Raw genomic sequence first — 27,755 nt, forward strand, 5'->3', positions numbered from 1 at the left:
CAGTCACTTTCTTAGGAAGGGTTCTTAAAGCTCCCCACGTGATCCCGGGGTCGCATCAAACGCTGGGGACTGCGGTAAAGCTTAGACCTTTCCTGACCTCAAGGAGGGTCCATAATAAGAGGCTGGAAGGGACATGCTGTTACTACAATCGGGCTCCCAGAAAACAACAGGATTGCACCTTGTGGCCAAATCTCAGTAAATTAGATGCCTAGTGCTGCAGCGAACAAAATAGCATGCTGATTTACTGTTTTTTGAAAAAGTGCCTGCATATAATCAAAACGGTAATGCTAAGTTGGCTACTGAAGGCAAAGGCGGAATGTTTTATCTGAGCCAAAGTAATGTGTCAGAGAAATTACTAATACACCCCCTTCTGTTTTGACTGTACTTCAGTGTACTGCAATGTATTGCAAATAAATACTGACATCATTTACTTTTTCACGTTGCACAAGAACATGTTTGCTACTGTTTATGGTAAGGAATGTAATATCACAACTAGATAAGGGAATGCATTGAGAACTGTGAGATTTTTGTTTTGTTTTATGATCTTGTTCAAATAAAATTAAGCAGGTGTGAAAGCAATTCAAAAAGTAACCCAAGGTACACCACAGTGCTTCTTACAGTTTGCCCTTGGTAGATGTCTTTATTCAGATGAACAAGAAACTGCCATTTTATAAACATCGTAGTTTCCCTCATCGTGAGCACTAAAAGATAGGTTACGGTATTTAAAATAATTTTGAAACAACCACCACCCCAAACCACCCAATCAGAAACGTATTATCTGAAAATACCCAATAATAATGTAATAATTTTACAATAATGCTAAATATGTATGTAATATACCTGAAACTTTTCTTAAAGAACATGTTTCTAAATGAGTCAACCTGCAATATAGGAAGATATTATGTGGATGTGTGTGTTTGTGGAATTTGAATCCCACTTTCACAAGCACTGTTAGCATAGTTTGATGACCACAACACAGACCCAGGAGATTAACCCACACAAGATAAATAGCAGCATTACATAGCTTTGAAATGATTCCAATCACATAGTTTGCCACAAGAGTGAGTGATTTATGTTTTGCGGTAATTAAGAACTTAGAGCTACTCCCCCACCCCCTGGGAATGTGACATCACTCTTCATCAGATCCCACGTGTATGAAGTTGAAATAAACTTCACCTCTCCTAGCTAATGTGACGTTACACCTTATCAAACACCATATATATGTTACTGACCTCAACTACAGGATTTCGAAATACATATAAACTCAAGAATTTGCAAGATACTTTGAGAGCTCAGCGGGTGGCAGATCGCGTGCTCTGTCAGCCACTTCCCTGAACGCTACCAGCTCAGGCTGCAACAGGGCCACACCCTGTTAGCCTTTAAGCTTTGAAGCCTGTCCACCAACACTGGCACAGCCCTCTAGCATCGTGGGACCTTGCATATCCTCACCGATCTCCTGTATGTTGGACACCATCTCTCCCGAGAACCTCAGCCTCCAAAAGGTAAAGGTACACCTCAGTTGTTTTTCTTTTTCTTTTTCTTTTTCTTTCTTTTTTTTTTTTTTTTGAGACAAGACTCTCACTCTGTTGCCAAGGCTGTAATACAGTAGTGCAATCATGGCTCACTGCAGCCTTGACCTCCCAGGCTTAATGAATCGTACTACCTCAGCCTCCCACTGAGTATCTGGGACTACAGGCACACGTCACCACACCTGGCTAATTTTTTTAATTGTTTTTGTAGAGTCGGGGTCTCCCTAAGTCACCCAGGCTGGTCTCAAACTCCTGGGCTCAGCAGTCCTCCTGCCTTAGCCTCCCAAAATGCTGAGATTACAGGCATTAATACCACACCCACCTCAATCCTTAATCAGACTTTACTTTCCACAGAGGTCTGCTTCAATCTTAATTGAACAACTAGGTTTTAATAGTTTTGGAACTCACTCACTATGTAGTTAATAAACATCATCTATGGAGTGTATTCCCTGTGAAATTATTCTCTTAATTCTCTGCCTCTATACATTGTGAACCTAAGAAAATAAATTATCTTCACATGGCAATAAACCATGTTGATCCAGGATTGTTTCCTCCTTAGCTCAGCTAGATCCAGGTTCTTGTCTCAAGACCAGGAAAAATCAGGTACACGGACACTTGAAGAGTGAGTGAAGTAGAATTTGTTAAGCAAAAGGAAAGCTCTCAGCAAAGAGAAGGATCCTGAAAGCAGGTTCCCAGTTGCCCGCTTCACAGTTGAATGCAGGGGCTTTTACATGCAAGCTGATGGGGCCAGGTTCCCTATTTGTGTAAGGCGCAAATTCCTGGTGGCTCCACCCCATTCCCCCAGTGTGCACGCGGGCCCTTAGTCCACTGTAGGCATGTTTAGGCAAGACCCCTGTGTAAGTTCCCTTATCTGTACGAAACATGGGTGGGAGCTTCTCTGGGGACCCTTTGCTTACTATCTGCCTAAAGCAAGCTGGCTGACGCCTTTCAATGTGATTCATGAAATCATACTTTTATCTCTCTACTTTGAACCATACAAAACACAGAGCTAATTTCTATTGGTCACTCTTTCCACAGCTTCTTCAATAAACCTTATTATGATATATAAAACTAAATGTGAATGGCTGATATAGATCAGAGTTGGACTATATAATGGAATTCATTTAACTTGGATTCCTCTATTCAGTCCAGCCTTGTAGGTACTCAGTAAATGTTTTCCTGTTTCATTTTTGGACTAGTCATGGGGAGAGAGAGGTGAACATTGGAGCCCAGCTATCTCTTTCTCCTCTTCTGCGGATCACCTTATCTCCATGCTTTTAATAAGGTAACGTACAAAATGCAACACACTGTATTACAAAACTCTATAGTCATAAGGCTTAGAACAGCCATGGACCTCTCAAAAAGTCTACAGCAATTTCCATCTAGAACATAAATGTTAGGAGAGCATGATTGATCATGAGGTTTCTGAAACATAGCTGGTCCTCTGGAGTTAGAGGATTGATTGTTATAACTATTCAACAATCAACCATTTATTGAGCACCTCTTATGTACCAGACAGTCCTCTTGAGATCTTCTGAGGAATTAAGCAAATGATAATGCTCAACAAAATACCTAACCACTGCCTTGTGTCAAACTAAAAGGTTTACCACAAATAGACCACAGAACAGAATGTAGTACAAACGACCAGAGCTGAATCTAAATGAATGCGGCAAAACTGGGAAATGGAGGGAAGCAATCTGGGATTTCACACATTGAATGGTTCTGATGCAAAATCTTTTACAGTGGCAAATGGTTTCCATGGTAAACTGTGAATGATATATAATTCGGGGTCAGAAAAATTGAACTTAAAGGCCAGGTGTGGTGGCTCATGCCTGTAATCCCAGCATTTTGGGAGGCCAAAGCAGGAGGATCAATTGGTGATATAGGAGTTAAGAAGAAATCACTTAGGCAGACAGTGAGAGTATGGCAGCCTTTGGTAAGGCTTTTCTCTTTAATGAAAAGCAGCCCCAAATCATTTTCTAACAAAGAGCAGCCTGTAAGCTCGAGCTCCAGACATAGACAAGCAATCTGGGAGCTTGCACTGGTGAATGCCAGCAGAAACTCGGGGCTAGACATGTTCAGGATGGCAGCTCCACTTCCCTTCTCTTTGTCAGCCACGTTTACAGTAAGAAGCAGACAACATGGTGCAGATCAACAGGAAAGCCCATTTGCAGAATAAGATTAGGGTGGGGCGACCAGCCTTCCTTTTCCCCCTGCCCCCACACAGTATATAGACGTCATACCTGATGGAACCAATCTGTGAGCCCCATATAAATCAGACACCGCCTTCTCCAACCTGCTGCCTATAAAATCTGCTGCGATCCACTGCCTCACCCCCTCTGTGGACATCTCTCTTTCCCAAAAAGCTGCCTCTCTCCTTTCTTCTAACTATCAACTTTCCACTACTTAACCCACCCACATGTGTCTGTGTCCTAAATTCTTTCTTGGCACACAAAACAAACCACAGGGTATATACCCCAGACAGCATAGGCATATCATTGGAGCCAGGAGTTCAAGACCAGCCTGGACAACATAGTGAGACCCCCCACATCTCTACAAAAATTAAAATTAAAATTACCTGAGCGTGGTGGTGCATGCCTGTAGTCCTAGCTACTTGGGAGGCTGAGGCAGGAGGATAGCTTGAGCCCAGGAGTTCAAGGCTACAGTAAACCGTAATCACACCACTGCACACCAGACTGGGCAACAGAGCAAGATTCTGCCTCTAACAAAAAGAAAGAGTGGGGGGAGAGAGAGAGAGAAGCAAAATTGAGTAGAGACTTAGTGTACAGCATGATGACTATTGTATACTGGAAATTTGCTAAGAGAGTGGATTTCAGGTACTCTTACCACAAAAAAAAAACCAAAATGCTAACTATGTGAAGAGATAAATATGTTAGCTTGACTATAGTAATCATTTCACTATGTATATCAAAACATCATGTTGTATACCTTACATATGTACAATTTTGTTTTTTTTGAGACAGGGTCTCACTCTGGAAGTGCGGTGGCATGATCATAGCCCACTGCAGCCTCCAATTCCTGGGCTCAAGTGATCCCCCTGCCTTAGCCTCCTAAGCAGCTGGGACGACAGACGCATACCACCACACCTGGCTAATTTTTTTTTTCTACTTTTTATAGACAGTGTCTTGCTATATTTCCCAGGCTGATCTTGAACTCCTGGCTTCAAGTGATCCTCTGGTCTTGGCCTCCCAAAGTATTGGGATTACAGGCCTGAGCCACCATGCTTGGCCCCAATTTTTATTTTTAAAAAATCAACTGGCCACAGATATATGGTTACTAAACTCTCAGTTCTATTCCATAGGTCTATATGTCTATCCTCATGCTAGTATCACACTATTTTGATTATTGTAGGATTATATTAAGTCTTGAAATCAGGAAGTAAGTTCTCCCACCTTGCTCTTCTTTTTCAAGATGATTTTGGCTATTCAGGGCCCCTATAATTTTCCATGTGAATTTGAGGATGGGCTTTTCCATTTCTGCAAAAAAGGCCATTGGAATTTTGATAAGGATTGTTGAATCTCTAGATTGCTCTGAGTAGTATTGACATCTTGACAATATTAAATTTCCTTATCCACGAGCATGGGAAGTCTTTCCATTTGTTTAGGTCTTCATTAATTTCTTTCAGCAATGTCATAATTTTTAGTGTACCAGTAGTATTTTACCTCTTTACTTAAACTTGTTCCTAGATATTCTTTTAGATGCTATTATAAATGGAATTGCTTTTTAAATTTCCTTGACACTATAAGACAACCCAGTGAAGAGTATGAGTTTAATTGCAGCTATGGAAAAGTATTCTATACTCACCTAGGATGGAGTATAGAAGTTAAGAGGGCAAAAATCAGAGCCATGAGGAACTCCCATATTTAAAAGAACTGGTAATAATAATAATGATATTCATAATAATGGTAATAATAATTATAGCAATAGTTAACATTTATTGAGATTTATATTCAAGCAATACTTTGCTAAGCATGTATGTGTCATCTTTTATCCTTTTTTCTTATTTTCAACTTTTTTTTTCTTCTGGATTTGTCTTTAAATATCTTAGTTTTTTTCATCCTAAAATTATCCTCCTTCAACCTTTTTCCCATCCCTTTCTTACCTCCCTTTTGTAACCAAACTTCTTGGAAAAGTTGACTGCATTTGTTTCTGTTACTTCTACTTTCATTCATTCTCTTATCCTCTCCACCTGGCTTCTGGCTCTATCACCCACTTCACAGCTCTTGAGAAGTTCACTAGTGCTCTCTCTGTCACTAAAGTCCTTATCGTAATACTGTGCATCCAGCACAGTTCAGCACTCCCTCCGTCTTGAAGTATTTTCCCCTTGCCTTTATGACATTATACTTTCCTTGTTTTTTCTTCTCTTCCTGATTGCTTGTTCTCTGTCTTGGCTAGCTCATCCTACTCCACCAGTCCTTTATAAATGTGGGAGTTCCTCATGGCTCTGGTCTCTGCCCTCTTCTATACTCTATCCTAGGTGAATATAGGATACTTTTCCGTGGCTGCAATTAAACTGAAAATTTCCAAATTTAATGCTTAATCCCAAGTCTGTTCTTTGAGCTCCAGCCTCTCCCCTAGGTTGTCTTATAGATGAATTAATGATCTTCCTTACTTACCTTTCCATGATTCCCCACTCCCTGCTCCCTTCATGGGGGAAAAATGTAGTTCTCCAATGTGCCTTACATGATATATCAGTTGGGTGTGCTAGAAGTTTGGGCATCATCATTGGCTCTTGCGTCTTTCTTATGCATATCCAATGAACCACTAAAGCCTTCAGAGTATATCTTTAAAACACCATGAATCTGTCCAATTTTCATTTCTTCTGCCAACAACTTAGTCTGTTTTGTTTTAGCTCTTCTTCCAATGTGAAGATCAGGCCAGCCTGTTCAGTGTTGTGGTCTTTGGGTTTTAACTCCTCATCTCTTATAGGCCATGGCTTAAACCAGCAAGACATAGCACTCTTTAAATCCATGCTTAGGGAAAAGAAGACACTGTCTTCTTCAAAGAGTAGAAGTCTGCTGAAATGCAACTCTGCTTGTAACTCAAACTTTTACCTTCTTATCTAGTGCACTTTTTTTTTTTTTTTTTTTTTTTGAGACAAGGTCTTGCTCTGTCATCCAGGCTTGAGTGCAGTGGTGTGATCGTGGCTCACTGCAGCCTTGGGCTCAAGCGATCCTCCCACCTTAGCCTCCCAAGTAGCTAGGACTGCAGGCACATGCCAGCGTACCTCACACATTTTTTAATTTTTTGTAGAGATAGGGTCTTACTATGTTGCCCAGGCTGATCTCAAACTCCTGGGCTTAAGTGATCCTCCTGCCTCAGCCTCCCAAAATGCTAGGATTACAGGCACAAGCCACCACACCTTGCCACGTAGGGCAATTTTATTCCATCTTGCCACATCTCTAATTCTAGTGAAATGACCCACTTATGGGGGATATCAGGTATTCCAGAAAAAGGAACAGACTTTCCCAAAGATATATTGATGTATCCTCTACTTAATGCAAAAACAGAAAACCTGCTTACAGTCCTAAAGGATATTTGCTCTCTGCTTGGAGCTAACTCTCTGAGACTCCTGTCTGTCTCTTTTCTACTTGACTAAACCATTTCCAAAGAATAGTACAACTTCTGCATAGGTTCTCTTCAGAGCAGCAGTTCTTAACTGAGGTCCATGGATAGGCTTTGAAGAAAAGATATGAGAACTCCTGAAATTGTGGGTGGTGGTGTGATCTTAAGCTTTTTAACCACCCATTTCCTCATCTTTAAAATGGATTTTATAATAGTCCCTAAATCATAGGATTGTTGTGAGGGCTAAATGGGATAATTAAATAGATATAAAAAGCCTAGCACAGTGCCTGGTACACAGTTATTTTAATATGTATAACAAAAATTACAATGTAAGAAAAAAGGCATTGTCTGGAGCAACATGTGGAAGAGGGAATTAGAAGTACTCCTGTATCCCTTTTTTTTTTTTTTGAGACGGAGTCTCTCTTTGTTGCCCAGGCTGGAGTGCAGTGGCGTGATCTCATCTCACTGCAAGCTCTGCCTCCCAGGTTCATGCCATTCTCCTGCCTCAGCCTCCCAAGTAGCTGGGACTACAGGCACTTGCCACCATGCCTGGCTAATTTTTTTGTCTTTTTAATAGAGACAGGGTTTCATGGTGTTAGCTAGGATGGTCTTGATCTCCTGACATTGTGATCTACCCGCCTTGGCCTCCCAAAGTGCTGGGATTACAAGTGCAGTATACTTTTAAAGTGTATGTGGACAAACAGAAATAGTAGAGAGTCAACTCCAAGTATAAGGTCTCTTTATTTAAGGTAGCTTTATTTCATCATCCTGAAATGTCTAGGGCTATCACAGGGGCTAAATTATAGCTATGAACTAGAACTAGGGAAGCATCAAGAACTATGGATGGTAAACATAATAGAGTCCAAATTCACTTATAACTCAGATGGGTGTAACATTTTTCTTTATTTAGTCTATGGCACCTGTTTTCTTTGTGAGTGCACCTCTCTTCTATCCATGTCATGATTATTGCTGGAAATATGGTGGAAACTAATCAAATGTTCTCTCTGTTCAAACCTTGTTCTAAAAATGTAAACACTTCCTTTAAATACTTTTCAGGTCTTTTGAATAAGAATGCTCAGTCTCTTAGCCTCCTCTTCCCTATGCTTCTCTCCCTAAGATGACAGCCAGTGTATGTTGTAGTTGGGTGTATAGCCTTCTTTTATCCTATGCCTTGGAGTTGAGGATTGTGACCAGCTGGAAATTGTTCTCCCTTGTCCACCTTACCCTGCCTAATCTGCTGGCCCCTGATGATGAAACCCCTGGCTGGTATAACTTGCAGTTTGATCTTGCTTCTGGTTTGGAGCATGGGGGTGCTTTCCCTTCATCTCATCTCCCACTAGCATTATAAGCCCCTACTGAGGCTACTAGGCATTCCGTCTAGCTTGCTAGCCCAGTGGCCTGTCCTTATACCCAGTTTGGGAGCCAGTTCCCCACAGTGACTACCTACATTAGCTCTCAACTTTCAGGATCCATGCCACTTGAGACCAAGGAGTCCAACTGGGGTCTCTTTCCTAATCGTACCTCTCTGCTCTTTCAGCAAGGCTGGGCAATTGTATATGGGTGTGGGGCTTCTGCACTGCAGTCTGCATTTTCTCTCCTGAATAGTTTAGGAGCCCGTCTCTCCCCATTGATACCTTTACTTATCATCCCCCTTTCTGGACCAAAACTCAGACAGAGGACAATTGGGAAACAAGTCTTTCTTACTGTCTCTTTTCTCCTTTCTGCCATTCCCAGGGCTGGAGAGCACTAGGCTTTTCTTTTACTTCCTTTCTATCAGTGCTTCTGAAATTACTTGTGGAGAAGGTATAGTTTTTATTTTGTTATAAATTTGTCACAGCCTAACACTTTTATAAAACATGAATTAGTAGAAAAGTGAAATTTAAAATATACAAATAAAAGTCCATTTTAAAAATTGTTAGAGTCATCAGACATAAAATTATTCTGTCAAATTGCTATAAAAGTATCTCAGCACTTTCAATTGCGTACTTATCCATCATGGACCAGTAACAGAGAGTATGTGAACTGGCCAGCTCTGACTCATGGCGTCCTTCCTGTCCTGCTAAGCTTTAGTGATGGACAACATCATTTCTAAACCCCTAGAAGGCACCATGAACATTGCACCTTTTGTTTTGTTTTGTTTTGAGACAGAGTCTCACTCTGTCACCTAGGCTGGAGTGCAGTGGCGCGATCTCAGCTCACGGTAATCTCTGCCTCTCAAGTTCAAGCGATTCTCGTGCCTCAGCCTCCTGAGTAGCTGGGAATACAGGCACACGCCCGGCTAATTTTTGTATTTTTAGTAGAGACGGGGTTTCCCCATGTTGGCCAGGCTGGTCTTGAACTCCTGACCTCAGGTGATCAGCCTGCCTCGGCCTCCCAAAGTGCTGGATTACAGGCATGAGCCACCACTCCTGGCCAACATCGCACCTCTTGACTTGACCCTTAAGATGTGGATGGAGGCTGGGCATGGTGGCTCATGCTTGTGATTCCAGCACCTTGGGAGGCTGAGGCAGGTGGATCACCTGAGTTCAGGTGTTCGAGACCAGCCTGGCCAACATGGTAAAACCCTATCTCTCCTAAAAAATAAAAAATACAAAAATTAGCCAGGTGTGGTGGCATACGCCTATAATACCAGCTACTCAGGAGGCTGAAGCATGAGAATTACTTGAAACCCGGGAGGCGGAGGTTGCAGTGAGCTGAGATTATGCTATTGCATACAGCCTGGGTGACAGAGTGAGACTTTGTCTAGAAAAAAAAAAGATGTGGATGGAAACTAAAGAAATTTGGAAAGTGCACTTCATAAGACCATGATCTGTCTTCCAAGTCTATTCTCATATTGCAAACTCCCATTTTTGAACACAAGAAATTGAACATTACATTTTGCATTTCTACTATAATAAATTTTAATATACTCACAGCAGATGGATGTCTTGGGTGGAGTAACTATGAAAGTAATAAGCTCAGAAAGGCAGAAGAGAATAACCCACTTATAAATTTCAGACTCTTATCCTTGTTACGCTAATGTGTAACACTCACGAAGAATGAAAAAAACGCTCAGTTTTGTTAGTAAATCCTAATTTTTGCAGTTGTATTGTATTGCCTCAGTAAGAGCTAACATTCCTTTCTTCTTAGATATGCTAATTACCCTGGTCTGATCACTATACATTATATGTATTGAAATAATCACTGTGTACCTCACGAATATGTACAATTATTATTTGTCAATTAAAAATTAAGGCTGAGCATGGTGACTTATGCCTGTAATGCCAGAACTTTAGGAAGTTGAGGCTGGAGCATCACCGGAGGCCAGGAAGATCACTGGAGACTGGCCTGGGCAACATAGCAAGACCCCATCTCTACAAAAAATTTTTAAAAAATTAGCTGGATGTGGTGGTACACATCTGTAGTCCTAGCTACTTGGGAGGCTGAGGTGAGAGGATTACTTGAGCCCAGGAGCCTGAGCTTACAGTGAGCTATGATCATGCCATTGCACTCTAGTCTAGGTTACAGAATGAGACCCTATCTCTAAAAAATTTTTTTAAACAAAAAAATCCCCACATTATTTTCTTCTCAAATAGAGCCCCAACTGTCATCTACTCATTTTCTCTTTCTGTGACTAAGGAAGTAAATGTTAAGAAAATGTGGCTGGATGGCTTGAGCCCAGGAGTTTGAGGCTGTGATTGTGCCACTGCACTCCAGCCTGGGTGACAGAGCGAGATCTTGTCTCCAAAAAAAGAAAGAAAAAAAAAATTGTCATCAGTGTACTTAATGGTCAGGTGTAAAAGCAATAAGGTGTTTTCAATTTCTTTTTCTATAGGAACTACAATTAAAAACAGGACAGGAAGAAGGTCTAAAACCGAAAGCTGAGGACCTTGATGCATGTAACTTGAAAAGGAGAAAAGGTTCGTTTGGAAGTATAGACCATCTCCAGGTTTGTCAATTCTATTTAGCGTTTCCTGGTTTCTCTTCAATCTGATGGTTGTCTAAATAGAGGTAAACTCACACCTGTAATCCTAGCACTTTGGGACGCTGAGGTGGGTGGATCACCTGCGGTCAGGAGTTCGACCAGCCTGGTCAACATGGTAAAACCCCGTCTCTACTAAAAATATAAAAATTAGCCAGTCTTGGTGGCGGGTGCTTGTAATCCCAGCTACTTGGGAGGCTGAGGCAGGAGAATCGCTTGAACCCTGGAGGTGGAGGCTGCAGTGAGCCGAGACCATGCCACTGCACTCCAGCCTGGGCAACAAGAGCAAAACTCCCTCTCAATAAATAGATAGATAGATAGATAGATAGATAGATAGATAGATAGATAGATAGATGTAAAAACTGTTGGACTCTGAATAAAACCTTCAAACACTAGATGCCGCCCAAATGCAAAATTTCTAGTATTTGTTCTGAAACTTTATTATTTTTCTTTTCTTAAATTTTAGATTCAGGGATACACATGCAGGTTTGTTAGATGGGTATATTGTGTGATGCTAAGATTTGGGCTTCTAATAATCCTGTTGCCCAAGTAGTGAAACTTTTATTATTACAAAATTATTTTCTCATCCAGAAATGTGCTGTATTTTTTGTTTTTCCTTGCTCTCAGCAGAATCAATATATTCTTATTTCAGTAGAAAGGAGTTGATTTGAATGTTGTAGAATATAAACATGAAATCCACGTTCACTGGACTGTATTTATTCCCATCTCATGAAGACGAGTATATTTTATTTTGTTTGAGATGGAGTCTCGCTCTGTCGCCCAGGCTGGAGTGCTGTGGCACGATCTCAGCTCACTGCAAGCTCCGCCTCCCGGGTTCACACCATTCTCTGCCTCAGCCTCCCAAGTAGCTGGCACTACAGGTGCCCACCACCATGCCCGACTAATTTTTTGTATTTTTAGTAGAGACGGGGTTTCACCATGTTAGCCAGGATGGTTTCGATTTCGTGATCTGCCTGCCTTGGCTTCCCAAAGTGCTGGGATTACAGGTGTGAGCCACCGCGCCCAGCCAAAGACAAGTATATTTCTAAAAATCAGAACTCTACATTCAAAGAAAACCAAATTGTATATGTACTTTATATATTAAAAAGCCATTATTTTAGTGCCACCTTTTAAAAAGAAAGTCATAATCCACAAACTAATTTTGAAGTTCAAAGAAATTGAAATTTTAAATTTTATGTAAGCAAAAAATACTGTATTTAAAATACCTAGAATGCAATTATCTCTACCTTACTTTAGAAAGATTTATTCTCTCTTCATAAATTTTACATTACATTTTCTTAGTGACGTTTAATAGTGACATGGGTGCATTCCCACACACACCCATTCCACCCAGAAATGTCATCACCAGTTGTAATTTTTTAGGTTTTTTCCTTTTAAGTAGAGCTTAAAAAGAATCTCTTATTCATCTTTCAAACCCCACTCACAGTTTAAGAATGTTTGTAGAATATATTTAAGTTACTTGCTAGACTTCCTAGGATCTCCTACTGGAGTATTTAAGGATATGACAAAATTAACATTTTTATAGTTGCTCTTTCTCTTCCTAATAATTGTAGAGCTACTATAATATTTTAGGCTCCAGTGTTATCTGGACATGATAGTGCTTATAAGATTATACTATTAATATCCTGGTGTTATTGGAAGACCGAATAACTATGCATCTTCTTTGTCTTGGCCATTTTGCTCTCTTTTTCTCATATATATTCACTGTCTCATTGTATGATAGATTTCCAGAAACCCTTTCTATAAGGTTCATGAAGGACTAGGAAATAATACTATATGGATTTCTTTTCCTATTTATTTGTTGTTTTGGTGGCAGTGCTTCATTACCGTGTCCACTTGGTAGAGTTCCTTTTAAACAGTCATATTCCATCTATATTTATGTTTGTATTTGTTTCCGCATATCCTTAATTCAAGAGAGTACTCAGATGTTTGTTTTGGAGATCTTTTCAGCAATTTTTTATTTTTGTTTTTTTCTTTTTTTAAAATAATTATTTGAGGTTGACAAGCTACAATGCAAATTGGCTTTCCTTCCATCCTCCATCATCTGTGTCTTCCACTGTGTGTATTCATTTATTCACTTCATTGACTGACTGAATCAGGCATTCATTCACTCATTCATTTAACATTTTATTGAATGCCCACTGTGGCCCAGGCAATATACCAGCCATGTGGATAGACGGGTAAAAACTACAGCCCCTGCAATCAATCAAGGAACTCAAGTTGGGGAGATAGATACGTAGGGCAGCCACCAGTGTAAGTGCTGTGATGGAACTGTGCAGCACTACAACAGAGTAAAATACTCCAGCATGTTCTTAATATAGGCATAGAAAATTATCAGCCCTTTCTTCGTCAGGCTAAAAAATCCTAGACTGTTTAACATATCTGGGGGGTAAATTTTAATTCTTTATAAAACAACATAGCTACATCTTGACTAGAACCACTGATGTCTTTAGGATCTCAGACGGCTACCTGAGTTACTCTAAGTGATAGTTTTTAAATGTTCATTTAAGAGATTTCAGCCAATCTGAAATTCTATTATTACCATATAATTTTTATGGCAGAAGGAAAAACAAGTAATTTTTTTTTTAATTTTAATGTAGAAATTGGATAAGCAAAAGAAATAGTTAGATGAAGAAGTAGAGAAAGTTCTGAACCAATGCCAAGAATTAGAGGAGCTGGAAGCAGACTTAAAGAAACGGGAGGCCATAGTTTCTAAGAAGGAGGCTCTGTTACAGGAGAAGAGTCACCTGGAAAATAAGAAATTGAGATCTAGTCAGGTATTCTGTTTAATACACTACTTGATTCTGGTTGTAAACCACTCCCCACTCCCCACTAGGATGGCTATAATCAGAAAAACATAATAAGAAATGTGTGGGAGGAGGTGGAGAAATTGGGACCTTCATACACTGCTGGTGAAATTGGAAAATGGTGCAATCGCTTTGGATAACCATCTTGTAGTTCCTCAAAAGGCTAAACTTAGAGATACTATGTGACCCAGTAATCTCACTCCTAGGGATGGGTGGGAGGGTGGGTGGATGGATTGATGGATGGATGGATGGATGGATAGATGGATAGATAGATAGATAGACAGAGAGATAGACAGATAGATAGATCTATCTCTGTATGTATTTCTCCATGAGAAATGAAAGCATGTATCCACACAAAAACTTGAACATGAACATTCATAGTAACAGTATTCATAGTAGCTAGAAACAAAACAACACAAATGATCATCAAGTGATGAATGGATAAACTGTGATTATCCATACAATAGCATATTATTTGACAATAGAAGGGAATGAAGTAGTGATACATGCTACAACATGGATGAACGTTGAACACCTATGTTAAGTGAAAGAAACCAGTCACAAAAGACCACCTTTGTATAATACCATTTGTATCAAGTCTCCAGAATGGGCAATTCCATTTCTGTCCAGAGACAAAAACTAGAATAGTGGTTACCTAGGGTTGGTGGGGGATTGGGCGGGGGAAATAGAATGCCTACTAATAGGTGTGGGGTTTCTTTTTTTTGGGGGGGTGAAGAAAATGTAAAATTGATTGTGGTGATGGTTACATAAGTGTGAATATATGAAAAACCATTGAATTATATACTTTATTATTATTTTTTATTTTTTGAGACTGGAGTGCAGTGGCGCGATCTGTGCTCACTGCAACCTCTGCCTCCTGGGTTCAAGTGATTCTCCCGTCTCAGCCTCCCGAGTAGCTCGGACTACAGGCACACACCACCATGCCCAGCTAATTTTTGTATTTTTAGTAGAGACGGGGTTTCAACATATTGGTCAGACTGGTCTCGAACTTCTGACCTTGTGATCCGCCTGTCTTGGCCTCCCAAAGTGCTGGAATTACAGGCATGAGCCACCATGCCCGGCCTTGAGTTATATACTTTAAATTGGTGAACTGCATGGTATGTAGATTATATCTCATTAAAGCTATTATGTTTTTTGAAAAGCCATAAAAGGGAAAAGACAGTAGAGGAGATAACAGAGGACAAAAGATTACAAAAAAAGAAAAGATGGAAAGCAAATAGATGAGAGCTTATTAACTTAGCAGAACAGAAGATGCTGCATTGCAAGTACCTAGAGAGACACAAATGAGAGCCAGGCCAAGATCCTACATATATGCTATCACCACACATCTTACCAGCTTTTTAATACCTGACTCTGAAATGTGATGGGCATTTTAGGAATGCTTTAGATGTTTTCCTTTTTTAAAAATAACAGTTTTAGAGAGATAAAATTCACATAGAACATCAAAAAGACTCAGAAATGAAGGGACCAAGATTTTCAGAAGGCAGGAGTAGCATAAAGATGAAAACAGGGCATAGTCATGAAACTATTTTTTCTCACTCTGGGACCGATTTATTTTCTGAAGATTGAACCAGGCACAGCAAAGGTTGTGATAAGTCAAAAAAACTCCAAGTAGGGAATGAATGCAAGTCTGCATATGAATTGTGAAACATCTATTTCCTAATCTCTACTTGGATCTAAGAATGCTGGCAGCCAGATTTATACTTCCTAGCCGGAGATTGGCATATTTTCTGAAACATCTAAAAAGATATGAAAACTCTTAAATTTGGAAGCCCCCACTTAAATAAGTGGCCCACATATATGCTGTTACCACAAATCTTATCTGCTTTTCGATACCTGACTCTGAAATATGATGGACATTTCAGGAATGCCACTATTAAAGACAGAAAACAAAACAAAAGGAAAAAATAAACTCAGAGACATTAGAGATAGAACAAGAAGCTGAAAAAACTTCACAGAAATCTTAATATCCTCAATGTGGTAAAAGATGACTATCTATAAAGAACTACAAGTTATGAAAAACATGAAAGAGCTCTTGGAAATTAAAAGGGTTGGAGGATAGGCAGGGCGCGGTGGCTCACACCTGTAATCCCAGCACTTTGGGAGGCCAAGGCGGGCAGGTCACGGGAGGTCAGGCGTTCGAAACCAGCCTGACCAACATGGTGAAACCCCGTCTCTTCTAAAAATACAAAAATTAGCCAGGCGTGGTTGTGGGCACCTGTAATCCCAGGTACTTGGGAGCTGAGGCAGGAGAATCACTTGAACCTGAGAGGCAGACGTTGCAGTGAGCCGAGACCATGCCATTGCACTCCAGTCTGGGCGACAAGAGCAAAACTCCATCTCAACAAAAAGGGTCAGAGGATAAAGTTGAGGAAATATTCTGAAAAGTAAGTAAAAATACAAGTTAATAGAAAGTAGGAGCGAAACATTTTTAATTGGCAGATAAATTCAGAAAGCCCAAGATCCAAGTAATGGGAATTCCAGAAAGATACAACAGAGAAAACAGAAAAGAGGAGATTATCAAAGACATCATATAAACAATTTTCTCAACACCAGTAATGTGAGACTCTAGGCCTCTCACGTGCAGAGACACACATAGGCTCAAAATAAAGGGATGGAGGAAGATATACCAAGCAAATGGAAAACAAAAAAAGGCAGGGGTTGCAATCCTAGTCTCTGATAAAACAGACTTTAAACTAACAAAGATCAAAAGAGATAAAGAAGGCCATTACATAATGGTAAAGGGATCAATTCAACAAGAAGAGCTAACTATCCTAAATGTATATGCACCCAATACAGGGGCACTCAGATTCATAAAGCAAGTCCTTAGAGACCTACAAAGAGACTTAGACTCCCACACAATAATAATGGGAGACTTTAACACCCCACTGTCAATATTAGACAGATCCATGAGACAGAAATTTAACAAGGATATCCAGAAATTGAACTCAGCTCTGCACCAAGCAGACCTAATAGACATCTACAGAACTTTCCACCCCACATCAACACAATATACATTCTTCTCAGCACCACATCACACTTATTCCAAAATTGACCACATAGTTGGAAGTAAAGCACTCCTCAGCAAATGTAAAAGAACAGAAATTATAACAAACTGTCTCTCAGACCACAGTGCAATCAAACTAGAACTCAGGATTAAGAAACTCACTCAAAACCGCTCAACTACATGGAAACTGAACAACCTGCTCCTGAATGACTACTGGGTACATAACGAAATGAAGGCAGAAATAAAGATGTTCTTTGAAACCAACGAGAACAAAGACACAACATACCAGAATCTCTGGGACACATTTAAAGCAGTGTGTAGAGGGAAATTTACAGCACTAAATGCCCACAAGAGAAAGCAGGAAAGATCTAAAATTAACAGCCTAACATCACAATTAAAAGAACTAGAGAAGCAAGAGCAAACACATTCAAAAGCTAGCAGAAGGCAAGAAATAACTAAGATCAGAGCAGAACTGAAGGAGATAGAGACACAGAAAACCCTTCAAAAAATCAGTGAATCAAGGAGCTGGTTTTTTGAGATCAACAAAACTGACAGACCGCTGGCAAGACTAATAAAGAAGAAAAGAGAGAAGAATCAAATAGATGCAATAAAAAATGATAAAGGGGATATCACCACCGATCCCACAGAAATACAAACTACCATCAGAGAATACTATAAACACCTCTACGCAAATAAACTAGAAAATCTAGAAGAAATGGATAAATTCCTGGACACGTACACCCTCCCAAGACTAAACCAGGAGGAAGTTGAATCTCTGAATAGACCAATGACAGGCTCTGAAATTGAGGCAATAATTAGTAGCTTACCAACCGAAAAAAGTCCAGGATCAGACGGATTCACAGCCGAATTCTACCAGAGGTACAAGGAGGAGCTGGTACCATTCCTTCTGAAACTATTCCAATCAATAGAAAAAGAGGGAATCCTCCCTAACTCATTTTATGAGGCCAGCATCATCCTGATACCAAAGCCTGGCAGAGACACAACAAAAAAAGAGAATTTTAGACCAATATCCTTGATGAACATCGATGCAAAAATCCTCAATAAAATATTGGCAAACCAAATCCAGCAGCACATCAAAAAGCTTATCCACCATGATCATGTGGGCTTCATCCCTGGGATGCAAGGCTGGTTCAACATACGCAAATCAATAAATGTAATCAAGCATATAAACAGAACCAAAGACAAAAACCACATGATTGTCTCAATAGATGCAGAAAAGGCCTTTGACAAAATTCAACAGCCCTTCATGCTAAAAACTCTCAATAAATTAGGTATTGAGGGGACATATCTCAAAATAATAAGAGCTATTTATGACAAACCCACAGCCAATATCGTACTGAATGGGCAAAAACTGGAAGCATTCCCTTTGAAAACTGGCACAAGACAGGGATGCCCTCTCTCACCACTCCTATTCAACATAGTGTTGAAAGTTCTGGCCAGGGCAATCAGGCAGGAGAAAGAAATAAAGGGTATTCAGTTAGGAAAAGAGGAAGTCAAATTGTCTGTTTGCAGATGACATGATTGTATATCTAGAAAACCCCATCGTCTCAGCCCAAAATCTCCTTAAGCTGATAAGCAACTTCAGCAAAGTCTCAGGATACAAAATCAGTGTGCAAAAATCACAAGCATTCTTATACACCAATAACAGACAAACAGAGAGCCAAATCATGAGTGAACTCCCATTCACAATTGCTTCAAAGAGAATAAAATACCATACCTAGGAATCCAACTTAGAAGGGATGTGAAGGACCTCTTCAAGGAGAACTACAGACCACTGCTCAGCAACATAAAAGAGGACAAAAACAAATGGAAGAACATTCCATACTCATGGGTAGGAAGAATCAATATTGTGAAAATGGCCATACTGCCCAAGGTAATTTATAGATTCAATGCCATCCCCATCAAGCTACCAATGACTTTCTTCACAGAATTGGAAAAAACTACTTTAAAGTTCATGTGGAACCAAGAAAGAGCCCACATTGCCAAGACAATCCTAAGCCAAAAGAACAAAGCTGGAGGCATCACGCTACCTGACTTCAAACTATACTACAAGGCTACAGTAACCAAAACAGCATGGTACTGGTACCAAAACAGAGATATAGACCAATGGAACAGAGCAGAGCCCTCAGAAATAATACCACACATCTACAACTCTCTGATCTTTGACAAACCTGACAAAAACGAGAAATGGGGAAAGGATTCTCTATTTAACAAATGGTGCTGGGAAAACTGGCTAGCCATATGTAGAAAGCTGAAACTGGATCCCTTCCTTACATCTTATACAAAAATTAATTCCAGCTGGATTAAAGACTTAAATGTTAGACCTAAAACCATAAAAACCCTAGAAGAAAACCTAGGCAATACCATTCAGAACATAGGCATGGGCAAGGACTTCATGTCTAAAACACCAAAAGCAATGGCAACAAAAGCCAAAATTGACAAATGGGATCTAATTAAACTAAAGAGCTTCTGCACAGCAAAAGAAACTACCGTCAGAGTGAGCAGGCAAACTACAAAATGGGAGAAAATTTTTGCAATCTACTCATCTGACAAAGGGCTAATATCCAGAATCTACAATGAACTCAAACAAATTTACAAGAAAAAAACAACCCCATCAACAAGTGGGTGAAGGATATGAACAGAAGCTTCTCAAAAGAAGACATTTATGCAGCCAACAGACACATGAAAAAATGCTCATCATCACTGGTCGTCAGAGAAATGCAAATCAAAACCACAATGAGATACCATCTCACACCAGTTAGAATGGCGATCATTAAAAAGTCAGGAAACAACAGGTGCTGGAGAGGATGTGGAGAAATAGGAACACTTTTACACTGTTGGTGGGACTGTAAACTAGTTCAACCATTGTGGAAGACAGTGTGGCGATTCCTCAAGGATCTAGAACTAGAAATACCATTTGACCCAGCCATCCCATTACTGGGTATATACCCAAAGGATTATAAATCATGCTGCTATAAAGACACATGCACACATATGTTTATTGCGGCACTATTCACAATAGCAAAGACTTGGAACCAACCCAAATGTCCAACAATGATAGACTGGATTAAGAAAATGTGGTACATATACACCATGGAATACTATGCAGGCATAAAAAATGATGAGTTCATGTCCTTTGTAGGGACATGGATGAAGCTGGAAACCATCATTCTCAGCAAAGTATTGCAAGGACAAAAATCCAAACACTGCATGTTCTCACTCATAGGTGCGAATTGAACAATGCGAACACTTGGACACAGGAAGGGGAACATCACACACTGGGGCCTGTTGTGGGGTGTGGGGAGGGGGCAGCGATAGCATTAGGAGATATACCTAATGTAAATGACGAGTTAATGGGTGCAGCACACCAACATGGCACATGTATACATATGTAACAAACCTGCACATTGTGCACATGTACCCTAGAACTTAAAGTTATATATATATATATAAAACTTTATATATATAAAACTTTATATATATGTAAAACTTTATATATATATAAACTTTATAAAGTTTATGTATATAAAGTTTATACATATATATAGAAAGAAATAGCCCATCAAGGGCCCAGCAAAATGAGTACCCAAAACATATCACTGTGAAGGTTTGGATACACTGACTGAGGAAAAAAGAAGGTCCTGAAAGCATCTAGACAAAAAAGACTACTTGTAAGTTGCAAGAATCAGAATGGCATTGGACTTCTCAGCTTTCCTCATTAGAAGTTTAAGATCTGAAGCAATCTTTAAACTCATGAGGAAAATTAAGTCTAATAAATAATTTTCTTCTTAGCCAAACTCTCAATCAAATGTGAAGCTAGAATAAGCATTTTCAGGCAAAAAAACAAAAAACAAACAAAAAAAAACCCTCACATCAAGCCTGTCCAGAGAAACTACTAGAGAATGTGCCCCACAAAAATAAGGGCACCAACTATGAAAAAGGAAGACTCAGGATTCTGAAAATGTGCTCCAACATGGAAATTCTCAGGAAATACCAAAGGGAAGACCCAGGACAACTGGTCCAGTGTGGAGCAGGAGGATGGATGCTCCAGGCAAAATGTTTCCAGAAAAGAATAGATTGAAAAGATTTCCTGATAAGTTTGATCAAATGAAAAAGTGTTGAGGAATTTTATAGTTCTGTTGGAGAAGAATTAGTATAAGGTGCAAAAAAAAGTTGTATCAAAACAGAAGCATGATCATTTCATACTAGATAGTTCACCTATGAATAACAAAGTTATAATAATGAAAATGAATATTGATTTAACTAAAAACTATAATGTAACTTATATTGGGAGAATGGAGGAGGATGGGAAGTAGAGTAGGTATAAGAGTGCTAAATCCTTATCTCCCATAATACACAGTCAGTAGACAATGTCTAAAATTGATAATGCCATTTAGAAACATGGACATAAACACCAGAAGAACCAACTGAAAAGGTTGAAGGTGGCCGTCTGGGAGTAGGATTCAATTAAAAGCTTGGGGGAGGGGAATGCTTTTTTAAAATTATAAACCTTATGATAGTATGTGTCTCTATAATAAACCTCATGGTAGTATATACAAATAATTACTGTGAAAAGTATTTTACAAATTACCTGAAATTTGACCATAGTGAACATCTCCATAAATCTGGCCATATTTTCTGATCAGAATGAAATACGAGTAAAAACAAATTATATGTTTAAGCCAACCAATCGTATGTTTAAACACACCACATCTCAACCCCTAGTAAATTGTAACATAATTCTACAATGTAGAATGTAAGCCAAGAAAGAAAAGTTCAATTTAGAAAATAAGAAAAAAGAAAAATACTGCCTCTGAAAACCTAGTCAAGGCAATTCTTGGCAGTAAACTCAGAGTTTAAATAGACTTTTTTTTTTTAAAAAGGCATTCAACTTAAGATTTTAGAAAATGAACACCCCGGTCGGGTGGGTGTCTCACGTCTGTAATCTCAGAACTTTGGGGGGCTGAGGCGGGTGGATCACCTGAGGTCAGGAGTTCGAGACCAGCCTGGCCAACATGATAAAACCCCATCTCTAGTAAAAATACAAAAAATTAGCTGCACATGGTGATGAGCGCCTGTAATCCCAGCAACCAGGGAGGCTGAAGCAGGAGAATCGCTTGAACCTGGGAAGCGAAGGTTGCAGTGAGCTGAGGTTGCACCATTGCACTCTAGCCTGGGGAACAAGAGCAAAACTCCATGTCAAAAACAAAAAAAGAAAATGAATACCCCCTCCCTCAAAAAAATCCATGGGAGAAAACAATAATGTAAAAACTAAAAATATATTCATTTAGCAATTTTCTCTATGTTTTTCCTAATTTTTATGCAGTCTAGATTTCTAGTAACTGTTTTCGGGGTGTCTGGTGGGTTGTATCTTTTAGGCCTTAAACACAGATAGTTTGAAAGTATCAACTCGCCTGAACTTAATGGAACAAGACTTCTCTGAAAAGAATGTGCAGCTCCAGACCAGTACAGCTGAGGAGAAAACAAAGATTTCAGAGCAAGTTGAAGTCCTCCAGAAAGAAAAGGATCAGCTCCAGAAACGAAGACACATTTTTAAGATGAAAAACTTAAAAATGGTAGAGTGTTATCACCTGAAGTAAGTCAGTATTCTTTGGAACTGGAGGTGCTGTATGATGGATCACTTGAGTGATTTCCTCAGTCTTTTTCACATAATCATAAATATTATCTGGTAAACTTGGTTCCTTGAGATTTTGTCAGATGTAGTGAGTTCACCTGGCACTTATTTGGCACCATAAACCACGCTTGACTAGAGACTGAGATATCCTTACATAGTGGTCCATGGACATGGCCTCTTCCTGGCACTGCCAGGCATTTGGAAACTATTAATTTCCTTGAGTATATTTGCCTTCTCAGCTGGGGTTTCTCGTCTGAAATCACAGAACATAGAAAATGATTTGAGGGACTCTACTGGAGGGCACCTGACTTTTCTCTATATATATTTCTTGAAGGATACTAGGTAATTTATTACATACAAGAGATGCCTAAGGAATTAGGGGTTAATTCTTTCCATGAAACCTTGGTTTAAAAGGCCCAATGTCCATACTATGTCCAGCCAAATAGATGCACAAAATTCCAATCCCAGTAAAAGACCTTTTAGTTATAGTTACAGTTTTTTTAAAACTATAGTTTTAGTTACAGTTTTTTTAAAACTATAGTTTTAGTTATAGTTTTTTAAAACTATGTAGAAGATGATTCATTTATGGGCTGTCAAATTGCCCCAGACTTTGTCTTTTTTCAAAATTTTCAGTCAGTTGGCAGTGGTACCTTTACCTTACTTCATCAGAGAAAGATGAATTTTTGAATCTGAACTTCCTCTGCAAATATTTATTGTTGGTGTCTCATCATTACCAAACCAAGGGAAAATTGCTAAGAGAAGGTGAATAGCTGAGAATCATACACAGTGGTGAATCTTGTAGTGTTTTAGTTTGGAGCAAGTGACAGGAAGTTATGAGGGCTAGTTAAGAAATAGGAGCAAGGATAACATTAGATTGTTGCTCATTGAGAATTGATGAAAGGATTGACTTACAAATCAATCCTTGATTGGGGGCTAAATGGCGGTTGAAAGGAACATTATAGCCCTCTGTTGCCGTTTTATAACTTAAGCTGGGTAGCTGTGCAGAGGAACAGAGAGCCAGGGTGTCCTCCCAAGGTGTTAAATTGGAGCCCAAGGGTTATAGATTTGAAGACATGAGAGCCTAAGATACAGCAGAATTCAAATATTTAAGGAATTCTGCCTGCCTGTGACTATTACTAAGCTCTATAGAAGATAGAAGAAGCCAAAAAAAAAAAAACCCAAAGTATTATGTTTCCCTTGAGAAATTAATACTCTATTTGGGAAAACAGATAGAAATATAAGAAAACTGTAAACTCTGAAGGACACTGAAAATCAAGTTGTGGATAACGTATTACAGCTATACCTCTTACATTATTTATTCAAAGCAATGAAGTGATCATTTGGGGGAAGATTCATCAAGGCAGCCTCAGTAGATCAGAATCTTGAGCTAGATTATGAAAAACATGATATGCACTGGCAGATACAAGAAAGAAGTCCGTTTTAGACAGAACATCTTTGAATAAGGCACAGAGATGAGAATTAACAAATTATGTTTGCAGTAGGGTAGAGTTCCATTAATATCAAGAAACATTTAGGTTTCTATTTCATGTGGGATCCCATAACAAAAAACGTTATTTACAGATTTGTGGTGAAAATATAGTATGGTGCATGATACCTATTTTGCGGCTATTCTGGACTGGGGTTTGAGGGAATGATGAGCCTCCTACAACTGGTAGAGTTCTACTTACTCACATGAGCTTCTATGCACCTTTCTTCCACATGGTTGGTTCTTCTTAGTGTACCTCTCAAGTGAGGCTCTGCTCTTATCACGATTTTAAAGCCAAGGTTAATATTCCAAATAGATCTGTCACTAGCAGATGATCGAGAACATGAGATTCTGATGTGACACAAGGTATCAATAAAATCTAGTTGGAATGGTTTGCTATCTTAATGTCTTTAAACTTGTTTAGGATAATTTTCTCTTTCCACAGTAAATTAAAATATTTTTCCTAATTTTATTACTTTAAGGAAATGGATAGAAAGATTTTAGATCGTTACACTAATAGAAGATTACCTAACAATTTACTACAGACAGGTCACACCGCTTTTTTTTTTTTTTTTGGTAAAATCCAGAAACTAAAATTAAAGAATACCTGAACTTTAGATTTCTAATAATACAGAGTAGTTGCTTAATAGGTAGGGAGGAAAATATAAGAACTATTATGTTTCTCTAATCTTTTAAACTTTTAATTTCTCATTTTATGATGAGAACATACTTTTTTTTTTTTTTTTTTTTTTGAGATGGAGTCTCAGTCTGTCACTCAGGCTGGAGTGCAGTGGTGCGATCTCGGCTCACTGCCTCCGTCTCCTGGGTTCAAGCAATTCTCCTGCCTCAGCCTCCTGAGTAGCTGGGATTACAGATGTGCACTACCATGCCCAGCTAATTTTTTTTTTTTTTTTTTGAGACTGAGTCTTGCTCTGTCACCAGGCTGGAGTGCAGTGGCGCGATCTCAGCTCACTACAACCTCCGCCTGCCTGGTTCAAGCGATTTCCCTGCCTCAGCCACTCGAGTAGCTGGCACTGCAGGCACACGCCATCATGCTTGGCTAGTTTTTTGTATTTTAGTAGAGATGGGGTTTCACCATGTTGGCCAAGATGGTCTCGATCTCCTGACCTCGTGATCCACCCACCTCGGCCTCCCAAAGTGCTGGGATTACAGGCGTAAGCCACCGCGCCCAGCCTAATTTTTGTATTTTTAGTAGAGACGAGGTCTCGCCATGTTGGTCAGGCTGGTCTCGAACTCCTGACCTCAAGTGATCCACCCACCTCAGCCTCCCAAAGTGCTGGGTTTACAGGCCTTGAGCCACCGCACCCTGCTGAGAACATATAATTTATAGGGAAATCTCTGCAGTGCTTGCTCAAAAGTTGTTGTTAGTTTTTTGTTTCATTTTACTTGGTCTCTGGACCAGCAGCAACAGCATCACTTGGAGGCTTGTTAGAAATGCAGATCCTCAGGCCCCAAGTGGACCTGCTGGATCAGAATCTGAATTCTAGTGAGCTCCTGGGTACACATTAAAGTTGAAAAGCAGTGCTCTATCATAAAGCAGAGTCAACTCTTGATAACCTGTGGTTTGTATTGTGGCAAATTTTTCATCCCAGGATAGTTACCCATTGCCACGTATCTTGTCAACCTACACCTATTGCTGAGTTAGAGGGAACTGCAAACACTGATATGCTGCAGCCTCACTGGAGCGGGCTGTCCTTGGGTTTCTATATTCACACTACCTTATATTATCTCAGTACTTCCTTAACTTAGATCTAAAACCATAGAAACTGAATTTATACGAAATTGTCCTCAGCCACGTATAAAGGCAAACTCTTCACATTTGTTTTTGATAAAATATAGTCACAGTATAAATTCAAAAGTCAAGTACAGTAAAGTCCTCACTGAACACTGTGGATAGGTTCTTGGAAATTGTGACTTTAAGAGACACCATGTACATCAGGTCCTCAAATTACATTGTTTTCCTTCAACATAGTTGCTTTTGTTACAAAGTTAATAAGAAAAAAAATTTGTTTCGTTATGTATTGTTTCTCTTAAAGTCACAGTTTCCAAGAACCTATTGATGATAAGGACTTACTCTATATTGGATAATTCACTTTTATTTGTGGCTCCTCTTATTCGTTCACCTAAGTACATTTTAGTATTTAAGGGGTTTTTTCTTGTAAAGGTGAATATTATTTTATTCCTTATGGAGCAATTATCAAACCATCAAATTCCATATGGTTAGTGATTGCACAGAGAAATAGAATGGCTGGTGAACATTTTTCTTTAGGTAGATCAGAAATATTCACATTATTGGCCAGGCATGGTGGCTCACACCTGTAATCCCATCACTTTGGGAGGCTGAGGCAGGGAGATCACCTGAAGTCAGGAGTTCCAAGACCAGCCTGGCCAATGTTGCAAAACCCCTTCTCAACTAAAAATACAAAAATTAGCTAGGCGTGGTGGCATGCACCTGTAATCCCAGTTACTTGGGAGGCTGAGGCAGGAGAATTGCTTAAACCCAAGAGGTGGAGGTTGCAGTGAGCTGAGATCCCACCACTGCACTCCAGCCTGGATGACAAAGTGAGTGAGGCCCTGTCAAAAAAAAAAAAAAAAAAGAAATATTCACATTATTTTCCTTTGGGATTTTAGGGGAAGGAGTGGAGAGAAATAACATGGGTCCTGTAACCAAGGACACATGAAATTTTTTTCTCTTCTTTCTTCATTAAGTCAACAGATATTGAGTTCAAACTATGTGATAGGTACTGTGCTAGGCAATAAGGGTGTGCAGATGGACAAGATAGTCTGCCACAGGAACTTATCGAGGTGGCCTCCACGATAGGTATGGGTATACGGAAACATATATCCAAATCTCACCAATCTGAAGTAATTCCTTACCATAGATTTGTATCACCAACATAACATGTATTTGGATAGTTCAAAGAACTGGAAGAGCTGGGCATGGTGGCGTGTGCCTGTAGTCCCAGCTACTCAGGAGGGCAAGGTAGGAGGTTTGCTTGGGCCCAAGAGTTTGAGTTCAGCCTGGGCAACATAGCGAGACCCTGTGTCCAAAAAAAAAAAAAAAAAAAAGAAAAAAAGAACTTGTAGGTTTTCCTACAGGGATTCATCGATCTTCTCTAGTATGTGAAAAAATATTACGTTGCCCTATTTTTAACACCTACATTTTCCTTCTAATAACATTTCATAGGAATCTTATGAAATATTTCAGATACTTAAATCCTCACTACTTTTTTATGCCATATTGTGCTTTTTTATTACTAGTTCTTAATAACTTATTCTAACATTTAGAATAAGTTATTCCCTCTAGGCAGTATATTGTTTTGATAGATCACTGAAGGGACAACAGTGAGTCTCTAGATCTCACTAGTGGAAATATTGACACACAATATGCACTTTAGGGGTCATGGAGGAGATATATGACAATACTGCTAATCCTGTGGGCTTAGGCTTTGTTCAAGTATATTCCGTGGATTAGATGATCAGCATTTGTTGTATAACCTTGGAACATTTCAGAACTCCCCTAAACTTCTGTCTTTTCCATTTTATTCCATCAGGTTTATTGTGAGGGCTTAATGATTATGTTAATCTGTTGTGTGTGTGTGTGTGTGTGTGTGTGTGTATGTGTATGTATACACACATGTATACACACACTGCATTATG

At 39.4% G+C, this 27,755-nt stretch overlaps 1 protein-coding gene and 1 pseudogene across 9 annotated transcripts in view; one reads left to right on the top strand and one right to left on the bottom strand.

Moving 5' to 3' along the window:
• AGTPBP1 (ATP/GTP binding carboxypeptidase 1) overlaps positions 1-27,755 on the bottom strand; it is a 258,945-nt gene that overhangs the window by 195,838 nt on the left and 35,352 nt on the right. The window lies entirely within an intron of this gene.
• Positions 10,934-27,755, top strand: part of LOC100419824 (kinesin family member 27 pseudogene) — a 33,566-nt pseudogene continuing 16,744 nt past the window's right edge.

Source organism: Homo sapiens, chromosome 9, assembly GCF_000001405.40.
Source record: "Homo sapiens chromosome 9, GRCh38.p14 Primary Assembly".
NCBI classification, from domain to species: Eukaryota; Metazoa; Chordata; class Mammalia; order Primates; family Hominidae; genus Homo; species Homo sapiens.